At 34.5% G+C, this 18233-nt stretch overlaps 1 protein-coding gene across 44 annotated transcripts in view, besides 1 other annotated feature; it reads right to left on the minus strand.

Moving 5' to 3' along the window:
• The window catches only part of PPFIA2 (PPFI scaffold protein A2), a 501376-nt gene that overhangs the window by 339382 nt on the left and 143761 nt on the right, over window positions 1-18233 (minus strand). For 3 of the 44 annotated variants that reach the window (NM_001220478.2, NM_001220477.2, XM_017020118.2), the window contains exon 1: window positions 596-1015. The exons of the other annotated variants lie outside the window; for them this stretch is intronic. In NM_001220478.2, the coding sequence (NP_001207407.1) occupies window positions 596-676 (81 nt within the window). In that variant the 5' untranslated portion in view covers window positions 677-1015. Of the gene's footprint in view, window positions 1-595; window positions 1016-18233 lie in introns of those variants that run through there. 44 annotated transcript variants of the gene reach the window in all.
• Window positions 14092-14591: an enhancer, noted in NCBI's record as "H3K4me1 hESC enhancer chr12:82005227-82005726 (GRCh37/hg19 assembly coordinates)". NCBI's record gives its function as "activates a minimal SCP1, AML or CMV promoter by ChIP-STARR-seq in primed H9 embryonic stem cells {active_cell/tissue: H9 hESC(primed)}" and the evidence as "EXISTENCE:reporter gene assay evidence [ECO:0000049][PMID:30033119]".

The following is an 18233-nucleotide window of genomic DNA, read 5'->3' on the forward strand; positions in this document are numbered from 1 at the left end:
TGACTTTTCGATAACACAGAAAATCTTCCATCTTAATGAGTTTCTACTCTATTTCAAATTGGAAAGCATACTAAACTTGGTTCTTAAACCTCCTGTATTGTTTATTGTCTTTATGTTATACACATAAGAAAATTAAATAATGGGAATTATGTTAAACTGTGTATATGAAATGCAAAATATTTTTCTAAGCCAAGAGGACTTAGTTTGCAAAGTTCATAAAATGTGTTTTAATCTTACTCTTTCTGCGACGCACAAGGAAAGTAACTCTACAATGTTTACCATATTATAACCATAAATAACAATATCAGGAGACACAACACATCTCATAAACCTTCAAGGATGACACTGTAGCAGATTTAAAAATTCCTGTGGAAAATTGTGTTCACTATTTTTTTTTTTAATTCACAGAGACTCCTAATGCCATCCTATACCCACAGTTTAAAGTAGATTAAACTGACATGCACATTATTCATTCCATACATTTTCTTCAATACTTCCAACCTTTTTAAGTCTTTCTTCCTTTATATAGCACTTTGTTAAAAGTTTGACAATACATTAACTTACTAAGTAGTGAAGCCATTTAAAGCACACTTACTTGAAAAGTGTAAAACCGGGTCCCATTAGGAGGATGCACTTTAGGGGAGCCAGAAACGGTGTTCATATCCGAGAAAATCATTTCTGATCACTGAGACAATATAATCCACAAGGAGCTACAGATGCAGAGCAGAGAGCTTAGCGTACAGATAAATCCGTGCATGCATTGAGGGAGACTAGAGGGTAAAATGAAATCTGCCCCATCCTTCTTACATACACAGTGATAGCATTTTGAATTGTTCTTCTACATTTGAAATCTTAGCTGAAAGATCATCAGCCACCGACCTTTTGTGAAGCTAGTTCTCTAGAACATACAATGTTTTTTAAAAAATTAAAAACACAGAAGGAAAAAAGCAAGAACCAACGATAAATGGAGCTTGTGCAGAATCTGGCAGTGCTGTGGACCTGCCCATCTGTTCTCAGTGATAATCACCTCCCTCCACCACAGTCTAGCAGAGTGATTATGCTAAATATCCTGGTTAACCAATAACATACAGTTTCATTTCAGGGAAGCATGCACAGTGTATTCAGAGGACCTCTTCTGACTAACCTGAAGCATGTTTCATATACTGTTTAAAGCTCTACTTAGTAACAAATTGCTGTTTTATCACTCTTATTTCTGTATCTTTCTAAATCTTTTAGTCACTCCCAGACTTTTCAACAAGATGTGATTTTTTTTTTACAAAGCCTTTTTTTTTTTAAAGGGAGTTCTTTTATAATTTATAGATCAAAGTATATTACAGCTGTTACAGCTGGCCCGGATATTGAGAGGCAATTGCATACAATTCAGTAAGACTGTATATACTAGGAGTACTATCAAATAAAATGTACCAAATATTTTCCACTTTTCTGAACTGCTATAGAATGTCATGAATACGAATGAAATTATTATTATCTCATTTCCCCATCTTAGCTAAAAAATCATTATGTTTGACAATCAGTGCTTCAAAAAGTACCACATATTTGTTTTAAATAATCACAACCTTATTTCATATACATATATACACACAAGAATTAATAAAAATATTTAATACACATGAAGATTTTCAACTCAAAAATCCAAAAATATTGAATGCAAACATGTAGGTTTTGTTGCAAAATATGTTCTTTTTGTATATCTTTAACAAATTCTTCAATTTGTACAAAAGATCATATTCAGATGACTTGACAACTTTTAGAGGTAAAAATAAATGTTCCATTTACACATCGTTCAAATGTGGAGACTTCAGTAGGATAGGAAACAGAATAAGCCAAAAGTGGTGTCTTTGTGAATGTATCTAAGATGACATAGTCATACATAATAAAAACCACCTACTTTAAACCTGAAGGCTGTAAAGGATGATGATTTACACATACAACCTAAATTATTATTCATTAGTATTTCTGATTCTCCAATTATGCATGAAGTTTATAACATCAATGGAAAGGATGCAGAAAAGTGATCCTCAATTCTTTAGATGGGACTCCTACATTCTGATAAATTAAGTGTGTAGGTAATTATTTAACTAGCAAACTGCTAAATAAACCAGAAAATTATTTTAATAAAATCTTAATTTGGGAATAATTTCTGATTTATAGAAAATCTGCAAAGAAAGTACAGAGAATTCCTGTATGTCCTTCATTCAGTTTTTCTAACTGTTATCTTACATTAACTATGGGACACTTGTCAAAACTAAGAAACTGATGTTAGTGTATTATTATTAACTAAACTCAATACTTTACTTGGATTTTACTAGTATTGACATTAATGTGCTCTTTGTATTTTAGGTTCAAATTCAGGATACCATATTTACTTAGTTGTCATGTCTCTCCAGTTTCTTTTGGTGTGTGACAGCTTTTCTTTGTTTCTCATGACCTTGATGGTCTGGAGAGGAACTGGCCAAATGTACCATAGAATATCCCCTAATCCCATGAAATCATACATGTTTGCCTGTTTTCATCCTGATTACACTGGGCTATGAATGGATAAGCATACCACAAAGGTGAAGTGTCCTCAATCACATCATATTAGTGGTACATGACATCCAGATAACATTATTAATGATGTCAACCTTTGTCATTTGACAAACAAAGTTTTTGCCTGGTTTCTCTACTATAAAGTTACTATTTTCCCTTTCCCATACTCTATTATTTGGAAAGTAGTACACCCTCAACAGGGTTGGTAAGAAATGGCGGAAATTAAGCTTGGCCCCTTGGAAGACAGAGTACCTACATATATTAAATAGATTTCTTCTGTAATGGCTGGCCTCTTTTCCTTCAATTATTTACTTTTTCAGTTATTTACTTACAACAGTATAGACTCATGTATACTTACTTTACACTCTGGTTTGAAATTTAATATTACATAATTTAATATGTTTTTCATATTGTCCCAGCTTTAATCATTGGTAGCTCCTTTATTTCAGGTTGTCTCCTGTGTCCCTTGACATGCTCCCATCCTTTTGTTTTTAGAGCACTCAATGATTATTTTTTTAAAATGGTTTTCTCTTGCATAAATCGCTTATGATTTGCTGAAACTATTTATTTCCTTAACTATAACTCTAATTATTATTGTGAGTAAACTTGAAAATTTATGTTTTATTTTCCAGTAATTTTTAAGCAGCTATATTATTCAATTTTTTCAAATTAATATTTTTCCCTTCTGATATCTTAGTCCACATGGGATTTATTCAAATGATAATCAAATTTTTTAAATGACTAAATAGATTTACTAGCTGTGGAAATAAGTTATATATGTGAAATATTCTAGATACGTGTTAGGATCTTACTTCCTCTTATGGTTAGCGAGGCCATGTAACTCATGTTCCCCACAGAGTTGTGAGTAGAAATAATCCCTCAAACAGAAACCTCAAGGTTTAAGAGCGAAGTTTTAAGAAAAAAGAATGTTTGTCAAATAGATTTTTACCATGCAAATATAAACTCCATGTACTTTTATGTTTGCCTGTAAACTGGGTCTAACACAATTGAGATCAGAAAATTCACCAGATCCCTTGTTATTGTAGAGGAACTCATAAATCAAATGTTTTTGGTAAAATATCACATATTCTTAATATAATCTCATGTATTTGCTGCATTTGCATCAGCCAGAAAACTATTTTATTTTAGCTGGGAATTATGAATCTTTCCAGCCAATAAGAATACACTTTCTTTTTCATATTTCTTTGGTGGGGGAGGAGATGAAAATAGTATAGATTAATGTTAAAAGAGGCAGGAGGGAGAAATAGTACTACTAATATATAATTATTTTAAGTACAATGCTTTATTCTAAATGTTACTGAAATTGCCAAAGTATACAATTTTTCCAGAACATTTTTTCCTATGATTATTTTGATAATAATGTTATCTCGTAATTCTGAATGTCTATTTGGAAACAACTCAATTTTCTCTTCTGCCTGGTAGCAATAGGAAAGGTGTTGTCCAGGTCTAAAAATTGCCAAGATTTAGAATTATTCATTGTCCATTGTGGTTGAGGCCAAAGCTTATATATCAAGGTACGGTCCCATCATTCTCATTCTGAAAAGCCATGAGAGTTGGAGTTGCTGGAGGATGGAAAAGTTTCTGTCTCACTAAAAAACACATCCCTTTAACTCATGTTAACTGCCTAAAGGAAATAATAAGTATTAAATTTAGTCAGGGACATTTGACACTTTTTTTTTTTCTGTAGGGAAGCCCCATTCAGTCAGGCCCAAGAAGTCCTAATGGGCAGGAACTGAACAGTCTTGGAGCAGGCTCAGAGTTGTGCTAAGTTCCATGCCCAACATTTCATCTAGTACTGTACTTTCCAAACCTGGTTTGTTTGTACCCTTAGGTACATACAGTTTGAAAAACTATGAAGCCTCTCTTTGTCAAAATTTAAATATTTTAAGAGATTTAAATTACAGTACCTCATAGGTATTGACAGATGATACTCATTTAAATGAATCAAATGGAATAAAGATGATCTAGCAATTTAATGCCCATCTTCTATTAAAAACCTCAAGAGCTCTTAAAAATTGAAATTTTATACCATCCCTTTTATTCCTTCAACTTTTTTCCTTTTCTCCTGCACATAATTTTATTTTACTATATTGTACTATCTTTCTATATTGTGTGCCTTAAAGTATTTTATCAGTAATATTATATTTTGTTGCTGCAAAAATATATAATATACACTTAAAATATTTTTCTTTTTAAATTTTAAATGACTATATGGTTGTAAGTGTTAAAACTTGTCTCTTGAAATGAGCAGCATTCACAAATATTATTACCACACAATGTACCAGAACAGAATAAATATATTAAAATGCTGATAAACAGAGAAAATACAATATTATGTCTGGATAACACAAAAAATGTATGTTTGTATAATACAACTGCAGTTTTATCTTTTTTAAACTAGCTTATGTTTCAATTCAAACATCCTATTAGAATTAGACAGAGTCCTAATTTTCAGTTTTGTAGATTTATTGTTGAGAAACTCTGTTCCCAGAAGTAAGTAGATGGAAAAGAAAAAAGGTTGTGTTGTTGTTATGGTTTTTATCAGCAATATTACTCAAATTTTCTGATTTCTTCTGCATATATACTAGAATAAAGATATATTTTATAATAATCATTAAATACCTTGATTAAATCAACCTCCGATTTTGTTGAAAGCTAACAACCAGAAAACATCTGGCTTTCAAAAAGGATTTCTTATGTAGCTATTAAAGTCATTCACTTTCCTAACACCTAAATCTATAATTTGAGTGGTTTCTTATTTTGGTCCTTGAAGTTTTGAGACCCTGGAGTAATGCGACACAGTTAAGATTCATGAGAAACATACACTCTGAAAGAGAAGATTGATTTAAATGCAGACAGAACTCCTTAATTGCGGCACTGTTCTCAGAATAATAAATTTTAGAAAAGGGTACATATAGAAGAAGAAAATGAATCCCTTGCAAATATCCATGTCCTTGTATTTCTTGGACAGTCTTCATACCTTAATTTTAAATAACTATCAAACATCTATCCCTGCAATCAAATACGTTTCCGGTGGTTGATAAATGTTGACTCAATGAATGTGCTGCTTACACAATATGGCTAAGTAATTGCTTTAAACATCATTTCTAATCAATATAATCAAAAATTAAAAATCAGCCTGGTCATAGTCTTATTAGAAATTCAAAACTTCAGCATATGCTCAGAATGTAGAGGAAAAAATTCAGTGACCACGCTGAGTTCATTGTTCCTTAATAAGCCTCAATCTCCTCACTTATGAAATGGGGAGAATATTGCCTCACTCAAAGTCTTCTGTAACATTTAAATAAAATTAAGATAGTAAGACCCTAATTTGTCTCCATTCTCTGCAATGTCTTGCATTAATTGCAATGTCTCATTAATTGCATATAGTAGATAATTTATAGTGTAACTGGCACATATTTGAGGGGAAAAGAAGAACGATCAATCATTATTTCAGACAATAGACACGAAGACTGTTCTTGGTAAACCAGAACTTGGTCTTGTGTTTACCATGGCCTTTGTACTCATGGTAAACACAAAAGTATGTTTACATTTGAGGAGCTTTTATTATATTGGAGGAAAAAAAAACAGATACACTTTTTGAAAAATTACTTTAAGAGCATTATATATATCAAATCCATTCTAAAGAATATAAACAAATGTGGACATTAATTTAGGCTTATTAATTAGGGTGACTTCATGGGCTACATTACCTGAAAATCTAGAAAGGAAGAAAGAACTAACATTCAGTACTTGTGTGTCAGACATGGACACATGGCATTTAATTTGAGCCATACACTGTCATTTGGCCTGGGTAATATATTGATTTTACATATGAGAACATTGATATTTAAGAAAGTAGAATACCTTTTTCAAGGACAGAATCACTATTCTGACTAAAAAAAAAAAAAAAAAAAAAGCCCTGTCCATTACACCTGTCCCTTACTGTTTTCCTTTCTCTTCCACATTTATTCGTTTATTTATTTATTCAACTATGCATTAATCAAAGACTAATTACCAAATGCCTTAAATTTGCCTGGTATTGTTTCCAGGCTTTGGGGACAGGATTATCAGATACAATATCAGTGCTTTAGGAACTTTAAATTTTGTGGGAGAGATACCAGCTAAGGAGAGGTAGTTAAGTAGCAAAACAACTGCAATGTAGTTTGACAAATGCTAACCATTGACTTGATGTAATGTATACTGAGTTCATCTGGAAATCACTGATTTCCAGTGGGTGATTTCCAGTGGGTGACCATGGCAAAAGCAGGAGGTTAAAGGATTTCCAAAAAGAGAATCAATGTTTGAAACAAAATGAAATGGCATGGAAATGGTTGGGAAAATATGGCTGAAAGCATTTCAGGACATAAGAGGTAACTGTGCTAGGTGTGTATTTGTATTTACAAACAGTTTTTTCAAGTAAAATTAGTAAAGACACTTAATCTGGTCATCATCCTTTTCCTATAAAATCAAATAAAATTAGAACATTCCTGTTTGGAAAAAAAAAAGATATGAAATGTTGAGTCACATTTTCACACTTTTGGTTAGTATATTTTAACATCTTTCTTTAGTTTGCCAAATAGCTTTCCAAGATTATTTTTGGTTGTGAAGAAACTTCATTCTTAGTTTGATTGCTTTCAATTTATCATAAAACTATTTCAATCGAAAATTATATATATATATTACAATATCACACCTCAAATAAAATTTAATGTGCTTATGTTATCAATCATTGGTTTTCAGGCAATGGCTACCACTTTACGTGAAGGGTAAATAACATACCCATTTTAATCGCTACAGACAGACCACTACCAAAAATTTCTTAAGATGTATCTTTTCCAAGAGAGGTAAATTATGAAGTTGAGCTTCAGGAAATTTAATATTAGCTATCACAACCACCTCAATTTTTACAGAAAGGAATTGAAAATGAAACAGTAAAAGTATGACTAAACTATACTTAACTTAAAACGGAGTAAATTAAAAATCCTGAAGCCAGACATTTGCTCTTAATAGAATTAAGAGAAGACCCCAAGAAATTATCTAATACACCCTTGTGCCCTTAGGAACAATTACTCCTATGCCATCTGAAATGCATGTTATCAGCTTGGTGTTAATCAATGTTCCAAAAATACTTAGAGCCTATGCTTTTATATCAGGAAATTCAACTCACATATTTTTATAATCCTGGAAAATAATTTTGTTTTAAGAAATAGTTGTGAGATATATTCTGTTTTAAGACCAGCAATTTGACATAGCCTTTCTTTCATTCATTTGTGGGTAAAGCTCAAAATTTTGCTAAAATGATAAGAATTTGGGGATTTAAATACACTGAAAAGGCTGCTTATTTTATGTTAATTTTTGATAAATGGTCAGGGGAAAATGGTCATACTGAAAGAACAATGGGGTGAAGAAGGAAGAGAAGAACATAGTGGTGAAAGAGAGAGACAGATGAAAGTAGGTAAATGGGAAAGATGAAGGTGAGAGAGAAAAGGGAGAGGAGAGAGGAGGCGAGGGGAGGAAACAGATATTACACTTTGCATGGTAGCATTACACGATAACAAAGCATTTTCCAAGCAAACATTCAGTTAAAATTCATGCCATATGGAATGAAATTTGCAGCCCAGATGGACAATACATCCTAGTAAATTTATATGGATAACATATGAACGCTAGTTAAGTATGTAATATCACTAGCCTGTCTGTCTATCCATCCATCCATCCAGCTATCTATCTATCTATCTATCTATCTATCTATCTATCTATCTAATCTGTCTATAATTTCTCTATCTCTATTTAATCTATCTTCATATTTATCCACTTCTAACAGTATCCATACCCTTAGCTTTATATCATGAGTTCTACAATATGTAGCAAAAATGACCCTTTACAGATAGCCAAAATCCTGAGTTTACTCTATGATTTATTTTCTCAACTTTTATTCAGATTCAGGGGGTACATGTGCAGATTTGTTACATAAGTGTATTGCACCCAGGTAGTGAGCATAATAGCCAATAAGTAGTTTTTCAACCCACGCTACACTCCATCCCTTCCCACCATAGTAGTCTACAGTGTCAATTGCTCCTATGTTGACGTCCCTCTGTACTCAATGCTTAGCTTCCACTTGTAAGTGAGAAAATGCAGTATTTGGTTTTCTGTTTGTGTGCTAATTCACTTAAGATTATGGCCTCCAGCTCCATCTATGTTTCTGCAAAGGACAAGATTAATTATTTTTATATGGCTGCATAGTATTCTACAGTGTATATGGAGCACATTTTCGCTATCCAGTCCACCATTGATGGGCACCCAGGTTGATTCCATGTCTTTGCCATTGTGAATAGAATGACACTGAACATATGAGTCCATGTAACTTTTTGGTATAATGATTGATTTTCCTTTGAGTATATACCCAGTAATGGGATGGCTAGGTTGAATTGTAGCTCTGTTTTAAGTTATTTGAAATATCTCCAAACTGCTTTTTACAGTGGCTGAACTCATTTACATTCCCACCAATAGTGTATAAGTGTTCTCTTTATCCACAGCATCACCAGCATCTATTGTTTCCTGGCTTTGTAGTAATAGCGATTTTGCCTGGTGTGAGATAGTATCTCATTGTGGTTTTCATTTGCAATTCTCTGATGCTTAGTGATGTTCAGTATTTTTTATGTTTGCTGGCCACTTGAATGTCTTCCTTTGAAAAGTATCTGTTCATTTCCTTTGCCCATTTTTAATGAGGTTATTTGTTTTTTGCTTGTTGATTTAAGTTCCTTAAAGATTCTGTATATTAGACCTCTGTCAGACACATAGTTCACAAATATTTCCTCCCATTCTGTAGGTCATCTGTTTACTTTGTTGATAGTTTATTTCACTGTGCAGAAGCTCTTTAGTTTAATTAGGTACCATTTGTCCATTTTTGCTTTTGTTGTAGTTGCTTTTGGGGACTTGGCAAAAAAATATTTGCCAATGCCGATGTTGAGAATGGTATTTCTTCAGTTTTATTTTAGGATTTCTATAGTTTGATGTCTTACATTTAAACCTTTAATCCATCTCTAGTTAATTTTTATATAAGGTGGGAGGTAGGGGCCCAGTTTCAATCTTCTACATGTGGCTAGCCCGTTATCCCAGCACCATTAATTGAATAGGGAGTCACCTCCTCATGGCTTGCTATTGTCAGCCTCATCGAAGATCTGATGGTTGTAGGTGGTATCTTTATTTCTGAGTTTTCTATTCTGTTCTATTGGTTTATGTGTCCCTGTACCAATACCATGCTGTTTTGGTTACTGGAGGCTTATAGTTTGAAGTAGAGCAGTGTGATGCCTCCAACTTTGTTCTTTTGCTTAGGATTGCTTTGGCTATTTGGGCTCTTTTTTGGTTCCATATGAATTTTAGAATAGTTTTCTCTAATTCTGTGAAGAATGACATTGTTAGTTTGATAGAAGTAGTTGAATCTGTAAATTGCTTCAGGTGTATGGACATTTTAATGATATTGGTCCTACAATCCATGAGAATGGAATGTTTTTTCCATTTATTTGTGTCATCTCTGATTTATTTCAGCAGTTTTGCAGTTCCTCTTGTACAGAACTTTCAACTCTGTGGTTAGCTGAATTCCTACATATTTCATTTTCTTTGTGGCTACTGTAAATGGAATTGTGTTCTGAATTGACTTTTAGCCTAAACATTATTGATGTATAGAATTGCTACTGATTTTTTAACATTGATTTTGTATCCTGAAACTGTGTTAAAGTCACTTATCATTTCTAGTAGCCTTTTGGCAGAGTCTTTAGAGTTTTCTAAGTACAGAACCATATCATCAGTGAAGAGAGATATTTTGACTTTTTTTCATATTTGGATGCCTTTTATTTCTTTCTCTTATTTGAATGCTCTGGCTAAGACTTCTCGTATTATGTCAAATAGGCGTGGTGAGAATGGACATCTTTGTCTGGTTCCATTTCTCAAGGGGGACGGTTCTAGTTTTTGCTCATTCAGTATGATGTTGGTTGTGTGTTTGTTAAAGATGGCTCTTCTTATTTTGAGGTATATTCCTTTGATGCCTAGTCTGTTGGGGGTTTTTATCATGAAGAGATGTTGAATTTTATCACAAGTTTTTTCTGTGTCTATTGAGATGATCACATTGTTTTTGCTTTTAATTCTGCTTATGTGATGAATCACATTTACTCATTTACATATTTTGAACCAACCTTGCATCCCAGGAATCAAGCCCACTTGATTGTGGTGAATTAGTTTTTTGATGTGCTGTTGAATTCTGTTTTATAGTATTCTGTTGAGGATTTTTGCAACTATGATCATAAGGGATACTGGCCTGTAGTTTTATTTCTTTGTTGTGTCTCTGTCAGATTTTGGTATTAGGCTGATTCTGGCTTCATAGAATGAGTTAGGGAGGAGTCCCTCCACTTCAATTTTTTGGAATAGTTTCAGTAGGATTGGTACCAGTTCTTCTTTATAGATCTGGTAAAATTCAGCTGTGAATCCATCTGGTCCAGGGCTTTTTTGATTGGTAGGTTTCTTATTACTGATTGAACTTCAGAACTTGTTATGGGTCTTTTCAGGGTTTCAATCTCTGCCTGATTCAATCTTGGGAAATTGTATGTTTCCAAGCATTTATCTATTTCTTCTAGATTTTAAAATTTGTGTGCATAGAGTTGCTTGTAATACTCTCCGAGAATCCTTTGTGTTTCTGTGGGATCAGTTGTAATGTCATCTTTATCATTTCTGACTGTACTTATTTGGATCTTCTATTTTTTTTCTTTGCTAATATAGCTAGTAGTATGTCAACCTTGCTTATTTTTTCAAAAAACAAGTCTTGGTTTCATCAATTTTTAAAATATATTTTTGCATGTCAATTTTATTGTTCTCTAATTTTAGTTATTTCTTTATGTCTGCTAGTTTTGGGGTTGGTTTCTTCTTTTTATTTTTCCTAGGTCCTTTCAGTGCAAAGTTAGAGTGCTAATTTGAACTCTTTCTAACTTTTTAATGAAGGTATTTAGGGCTATAGACTTCCCTCTTAACATTGCTTCAGTTGTATCCTAGAGATTTGGATAAGTTTTATACCTATTTTCATTAATTTCAAAGAATTTTTTTTATTTTAATGTTCACCCAGGGATTATTCAGGAGTAAATTGTTTAATTTTCATGTATTTGTATACTATAGATTTTTTTTGCTATCAATTTCTATTTTTATTGCACTGTGATCCAAGAATGTAGTTGGTATGATTTTAATTTTTTTAATTTATTGAGATTTCTGTTATGAGTAAGCATGTCATCAATCTTAAAATATGTTCTGTGTGCAGATGAGAATAATGTATATTCTGTGGTTGTTGGGTGGAGTGTTCTATAGATGTCTACTAGGACCAATTGGTCAAATGTTGAGTTTAAGTCCACAGTTTCTTTGTTGTTTTGCTGCTTTGACAATCTAAGGCTGTCAGTGGGGCGTTGAAGTCTCCCATCATTACTGTGTGATTGTCTAAGTCTTCTCATAGGCCAAGAAGAACTTGTTTTATTAAACTGGGTGCTCCAATGTTGGGTATGTATACATTTAGAATGGTTAAGTCTCCTTGTTCAACTGTACTCATTAATATTATGCAATGCCCTTCATTGTCCTTCTTAATTTTTATTGGTGAAAAGTCTGTTTCATCTGATATAGAAATAGGGACGCTTTCTCTTTTTTGTTTTCCATTTGCATGGTAGATCTTTCCTTATTCTTTTACTTTGAACCTGTGGGTGTTGTTACATGTGAAATGGGTCCCTGGAAGAAAGCAGAAGGTTGAATCTTGTATTTTACACAGTTTGCCACTCTGTGTCCTTTCAGTGGAACATTTACCCCATTTACATTCAAGGTTAATATTGATATGTGTGATTTTTGATCCTGTCATTATGTTGCTAGCTGGTTGCTATGTAGATTTGATTTTACAGTTGCTTTATAGTACCTGAGGGCTATGCACTTAAATGTGTTTTTGTGGTAGCAGGTTTTGTTCTTTTGATTCTAAGTTTAGCACTCCTTTATGGATCCCTTGTAAAACTAGTCTAGTTGAAAACAAATCCCTCAATATTTGCTTGTCTGAGAAGGATTTTATTTCTCCTTCAATTATGAAGCTTAGTTTGGTGGGATTTAAAATTCTTGGTTGATTTTTTAAGGACACTGATAACAGTCTCCCTATCTCTTCCGGCAAGTAGGATTTCTGCTAAGAGGTCTTTTGCTAGTCTGATAAAGTTACTTTTGTACCTGACTTGACCTTTATCTCTAGCTGCCTTTAAGATTTTTTTGTTAAAAAAATCTACATGCCTTGGGGACGATCAACTTATCTAGCTGGGGTTATCTGTATCTCTTAGATTTTCATGTCAACCTCTCTAGTGAGATTAGGAGAATTTTCATGGACTACATTTGCAAATATATTTTCCAAATTGTTTATTTTCTTTCTTTCTCTGTCAGGATGCCAATGAATCATAGATTTATTCTCTTTACATAATCCCATATTTCATAGAGGTTTTGTTCATTTTTCCCAATTCCTTTTTGACTTAGTTGCTTCAAAAACTGGTCTTTAAGCTCTGAGATTCTTTCCTCAGCTTGGTCTGTTCTGCTGTTAATACTTCAAATTATACTATGAAATTCTTGTAGTGAGTTTTCCAGCTTTAGAAGTTCAGTTTGGTTCTTTCTTAAAATGGCTATTTCATATTTCAAATCTTGGATCATTTTACTAGATTCCCTGGATTTTTTGGATGGGTTTACTTTATCCTGAATCTTGATGAGATTCTTGCCGTCCAGATTCTGAATTCTATGTTTGTCATTTCAGTCATTTCAGACTGGCTAAGAACCATTGCTGAGGAGCTAGTGGACTTGTTAGAAGGGGATACTGTCTTTTTGAATTGTCAAGAGTTCCGGAACTGATTCTTTCTCATCAGAGAGTTTTGATGTTCCTTTAACTGTAGTATAAGTTGAGTATAGTCAGTTGCTTTGTTTCTGGATGCTTTCAGAGCACCAGGGCTTTGTGCAGGATTTTTGTTGTGGGTGAATTCTTGGGCTTGTTTTCACAGGTGTATATATTAATAGGATAATTGTTGATGCTGTAGTTTGGACTGTGATCCTGTAGATGGCACTTAAGAGTAATGGCTGGCAGCTAGGCTGATACCTAGTCCCTGACTCTTCTACTTCCTAGCATTCGCGGGGAGGAATAAAGATGGCTCGCTCACCATGTCTGCTCTCGGGCCTTGTGGGGAGCCCTCTACAGTCACCAGCGCTGTGCCTCGGTTTCTTTTGGTAGGGGTTCCAGGCCACGAGCCTCTCTTGGGCAAAGGTTGTGACAGGGAGATATGCCGCACCGTTTATGAACCAGCTCTTCAGAGGGAGGCATACTCCACTCCTACCTGGGGCCCGGGACCCAGCAACTGGCCCCTCTCAGTGTTCTGAGCTGGGGTTTCCTCTCCTGCAAGGGGGGTTCCTCCCCTGCCTGAGTGCTGGCCGCAGCACTGAGCTCTTCACTGCAGCCCTGGGGAACCAGGACATCCGTGGTTCATGGTTGGGTTCTAGCTGTGCCAGGGTGTCTGTTGTGTTCCTGTGCTGTCTGGAAAGTACTCATATACAGCAACACATTCAGCAGGGCCGTGGAGGCTGTGGGGTGCACCCACTCCTGCAGGGCAGCTAGGCACAGGCCCTGCGGGGGTCAGGGGACAGCATGTGGAAGGGTTTGCAGAACAGATGTGCCCCGGTCACATCTGTTGCAAAGAAAGTTCAGCTCTCTTCTGGCTCAGAAGTCAGCTGGGGCCAATGCCTCTGGGGGAGTGGGGAGGCGGGCCCAAGTGATGGGCGTTTATGGCTGCTTTTCACTAGAGCTGCCAGCACACAAAAACTCCTGGGCTCCATGCCGTCTCAAGGCCTGTCTCTGCCTATTCCCTGGAGAGATCTCCTGACATCTCACATGTCCATAGGGGATGCAGGGTCCCCTGTCACTAAGTTCCCAGAGGTCCATGGGGAGACTGAACCAAATCTCATTTCCCTCACTCACCCCTCTCCCACGAGCCATTAGTGGCTGGGAACTGGCCCTAGTGATCAGGTACCCTAAGTAGGGCTGCCAGCTTCCTTTCTATTCAGCCTCAGTTTCAGAGTCACATCTCCATCCACTATCAGCTTTTTCTCTCCCAATATCTGCTCAAATTATGGTGGCTGACTTAATAATTTGGTCTCTCTTGGTGGGAGCAGTGCTTTCTGGCTGCATCTAGTCAGCCATCTTGTCCTCCTGAGTTTACTCATACATCCTACTTCTGGGCCTTCTACTTCCTGGGCTTTTACTTCCAGACAATCCACAGCTGGCTATGCATAGGATCGTAGTGCTCATTCTTTCACTCACTCACTTGTAGTGCTCATTCTTTCACTCACTCACTTGTTCAACAAATCATTATTGAGGAGCTATGATGTGCCAGATAACAGCTACAGTTAGAGCAGAAATGATTCTGCAGGTGAACTGGGAGACAAACTCTGCATTTTTTGGCACCCAAATGAGAAACTCCATTCAGCAAGTGTTGTCAATTTTAGCAGTTAGATATTGGATTAGAGGATCCCAAGAAAAAGAAAAAAAAACTTCGAATACCTCAGTCTTTCTTCCAAGATCAAGAAATTTATTTTAGCTAACTCACCATTCATTGAGGATGTCACACAAATGAAGACATTTTTTAGACTCCACTGGGGTAACAGGATATACAGGCAAGTGAACAAAAAGGCATGTCAAAATTGAAATTTAAAACTTCTGTTTATAATAAGACAAAATTAGTAAATCTGGTTAAACTCACATTTTGATGATGTTTTATTTTTACATAATTTCATAAAATATGTATATGAATGTACATAGATGTGTCATATATATGTGTGTATGTATATGTGTGAACATTATCTACATAAATACACGTGCACAAACATACACACACACAAATTTAAAATGGTGTTTTCTTTCCGTATTTTATTTCTTCTTATTTGTTAACTGTTTTTCTCTGTGCTTAAACCAAATTTTTCACAAATTTTTACATGTATTATCATGGTGATAGCCCATAATGACCTTTATGCTTAAATTATAATGTTAAATCATATAAAATACAGGATTAAGAGTTTTGTTTTTGTTGGTCCTTTGACAGACATGTTAGTTGATTAGAAGAACTCTAATATTATAACAGAATCATTTTATTATATGCTGTTAGGTTTATTTCATGTTTTGAAATATATGTCATCAACTAGTTTTATAGAAATTACATTAAAGCTCTAGAGCGGAATGTTATTTCTTCACCTATCACTCTGGATACCAGATGCCTACATAGTTCCAGAGTTTAAAATAATACCTGGAGGATTTTTAAAACCATGACTTTTATAAACACAAAAAGAGTTACCTGAGCAATTTGGGGCCCACTCTATGACATGAGAACCACATACAGATTATTAGATGTTGAACTTCAACTTGCACACGCCCTCCATGCTCATCTATGTATTATGTAGTGCACTTTTGTTGTTAAATTTCAACCACTTTTTGTTAGCAACTGTTAAAATTCTTAGACATTCCTGACTCAATAAAATATTTCTTCTCTGGATAAATTTAAATTATCCACTTTATTTACTGTTCAGCGTCCATGTAGGTTCTATGATACACTGTGCAGTAATCATTAAATCAAGATACAAAGAATTCTCAGTCTCTCATACATAATTTGGATTTTTTAAATCTACAAGCATAATTCCTAGCCACAGTTTAAGAGATAATAAGTTTCCTTAGTGTGCAAAAGTTATGGAATCTATGGAACTTCTAGTGTATCACTGCTAAGGACTAGAATAATGCATAGCATGGAGTTGGTATTCAATAACTATTTAGGAAATGTTAAAGACATCTTCCTCTGGCTGTTTTGCTTCTCTGTGAGTGTGAGTTGCATTTTAATATTAATTATCTCATTAGACTTGCTGAATAGTCTTGAGAATTAGAAAATACTTATTCTAAGATTATTACAGTTAGTATGTGGTACATCTAACACTTAAACTTTGGGCTGAATGCACTACTTGGTACTTAACAGGCTAGATTTTGGTGACTGAATGAACAAGCAAAACCATGACCAAATCAAGATATTCTAACCACCAAACTATATTATTTCTATGAATTCGTACTGTCTAGTAGGTTAGATTGTTTTAAAAAAAGATTTTTATGGATTGTTTTTAAATATAGGGACATGCCCCTTTGCATTCCTACATACATCCACTTGCCTAAATGCACACACAGTATGCTAATCCCCCTGCACATATTCACAGAGTATTGGGGGAAATATGACATTAATGAAAAGAAATATGTGGTCTAAAAAACAGAAAGCAGATGTTTTCGTGCTCTTCAATGTATGCTTTAGCATACATTTTATTTATAACATCTCAGAAGAAACAGATGTAAATGATAAGATGAGAAGAAAAGAAGAATCAGGATAATAACCAATTACATGCAAGGACTTTAGGATAATATTTACATGGGTAGCATGGAATCATAGAACAAAATTTTAAAACCCAGTAATTTATATGAATGGACATTACATTCAAAATCCCATGTTTAAGATGAGAAAGATTATTGGTTTTACAGGAACAAGACAATATTAGGCAAAACTGTGGAGTAGACTAACACAATGTTTAGGCCACCTTATTTCTTACTCATCAAGATCTCTACTGCCACTCTTACCTTGCTAGCAAATACAGTATTTTCTCCTAAATTTTACTTTTTCCAAGAATTTTATTTAAAGACAAAGCCAATCACTCTCTTGTTTTATTTCTACTAAGAGCAATAACAATGACCCCATAGTTACCATTTATTGAATACTGTATGCCAAATATGAGGTTGCCCTTTATAAAATATTCTAGTAAATCTTCTAGAATAGTAATAATAATGATAATAATGATAAACCTTCTATTTATTCCTCAATTATGCATAAGGAGTCTTAGATAAATTACGCAACTTGTCTAATATCACGTAACTAATAAGTTGGAAAGTCACATCCTTTGAAATTAGATCTACCTGATTACAAAGCCACAGTATAAATTAAAATTACATCTTGGTACTGCTTTGTGTGACACGGATTTTAAATCTGTGCAGAATATGAAAAAATAATTGATTTCATACATAAAACAATTTTTAGGTGACTGGCTATCTGATTAAGTCTTTAATTTTATGTAATTGTTCAGATTTTTCTGAGGGAGCAAATGGATTGGGAAAGATAGAAAGGTATTAAAGACAGCTGCAAGGGCTTTGGTCTGAGCAGCTGCTCCCGTTTTTGGCCTATGCAATGCAAGGATAAAATAACTGAGATGGGGAAGGCTGCAGGAGTAGTAGGTTTAGGAAAAATTCAAGTGCTCACTCTTGCACATGTTGAGTTTGAGGTTTCTATTAGTCATCTAAATAGAGATGTCACATAGCCAGGTGGATATACAAATCTGGACACCACATTAGCATATAGACTGAAATTTAAAAGACCGAAATGAGGTCATCAAGAAAGTGAATGCAAATAGAGAAATGGTCCAAGCTGGAGGCCCTAGTGGATTCCAACAATTAGAGCCCTGGGAGACCAGCAAAGAAAAATCTGTAGGAGCAATTGCTAACATTGGAGGAAGACCAAAAGAGCAGTGTGAACTAAATTGCTCACGTTAATCCA

Source organism: Homo sapiens, chromosome 12 (genome assembly GCF_000001405.40).
Source record: "Homo sapiens chromosome 12, GRCh38.p14 Primary Assembly".
NCBI classification, from domain to species: domain Eukaryota; kingdom Metazoa; phylum Chordata; class Mammalia; order Primates; family Hominidae; genus Homo; species Homo sapiens.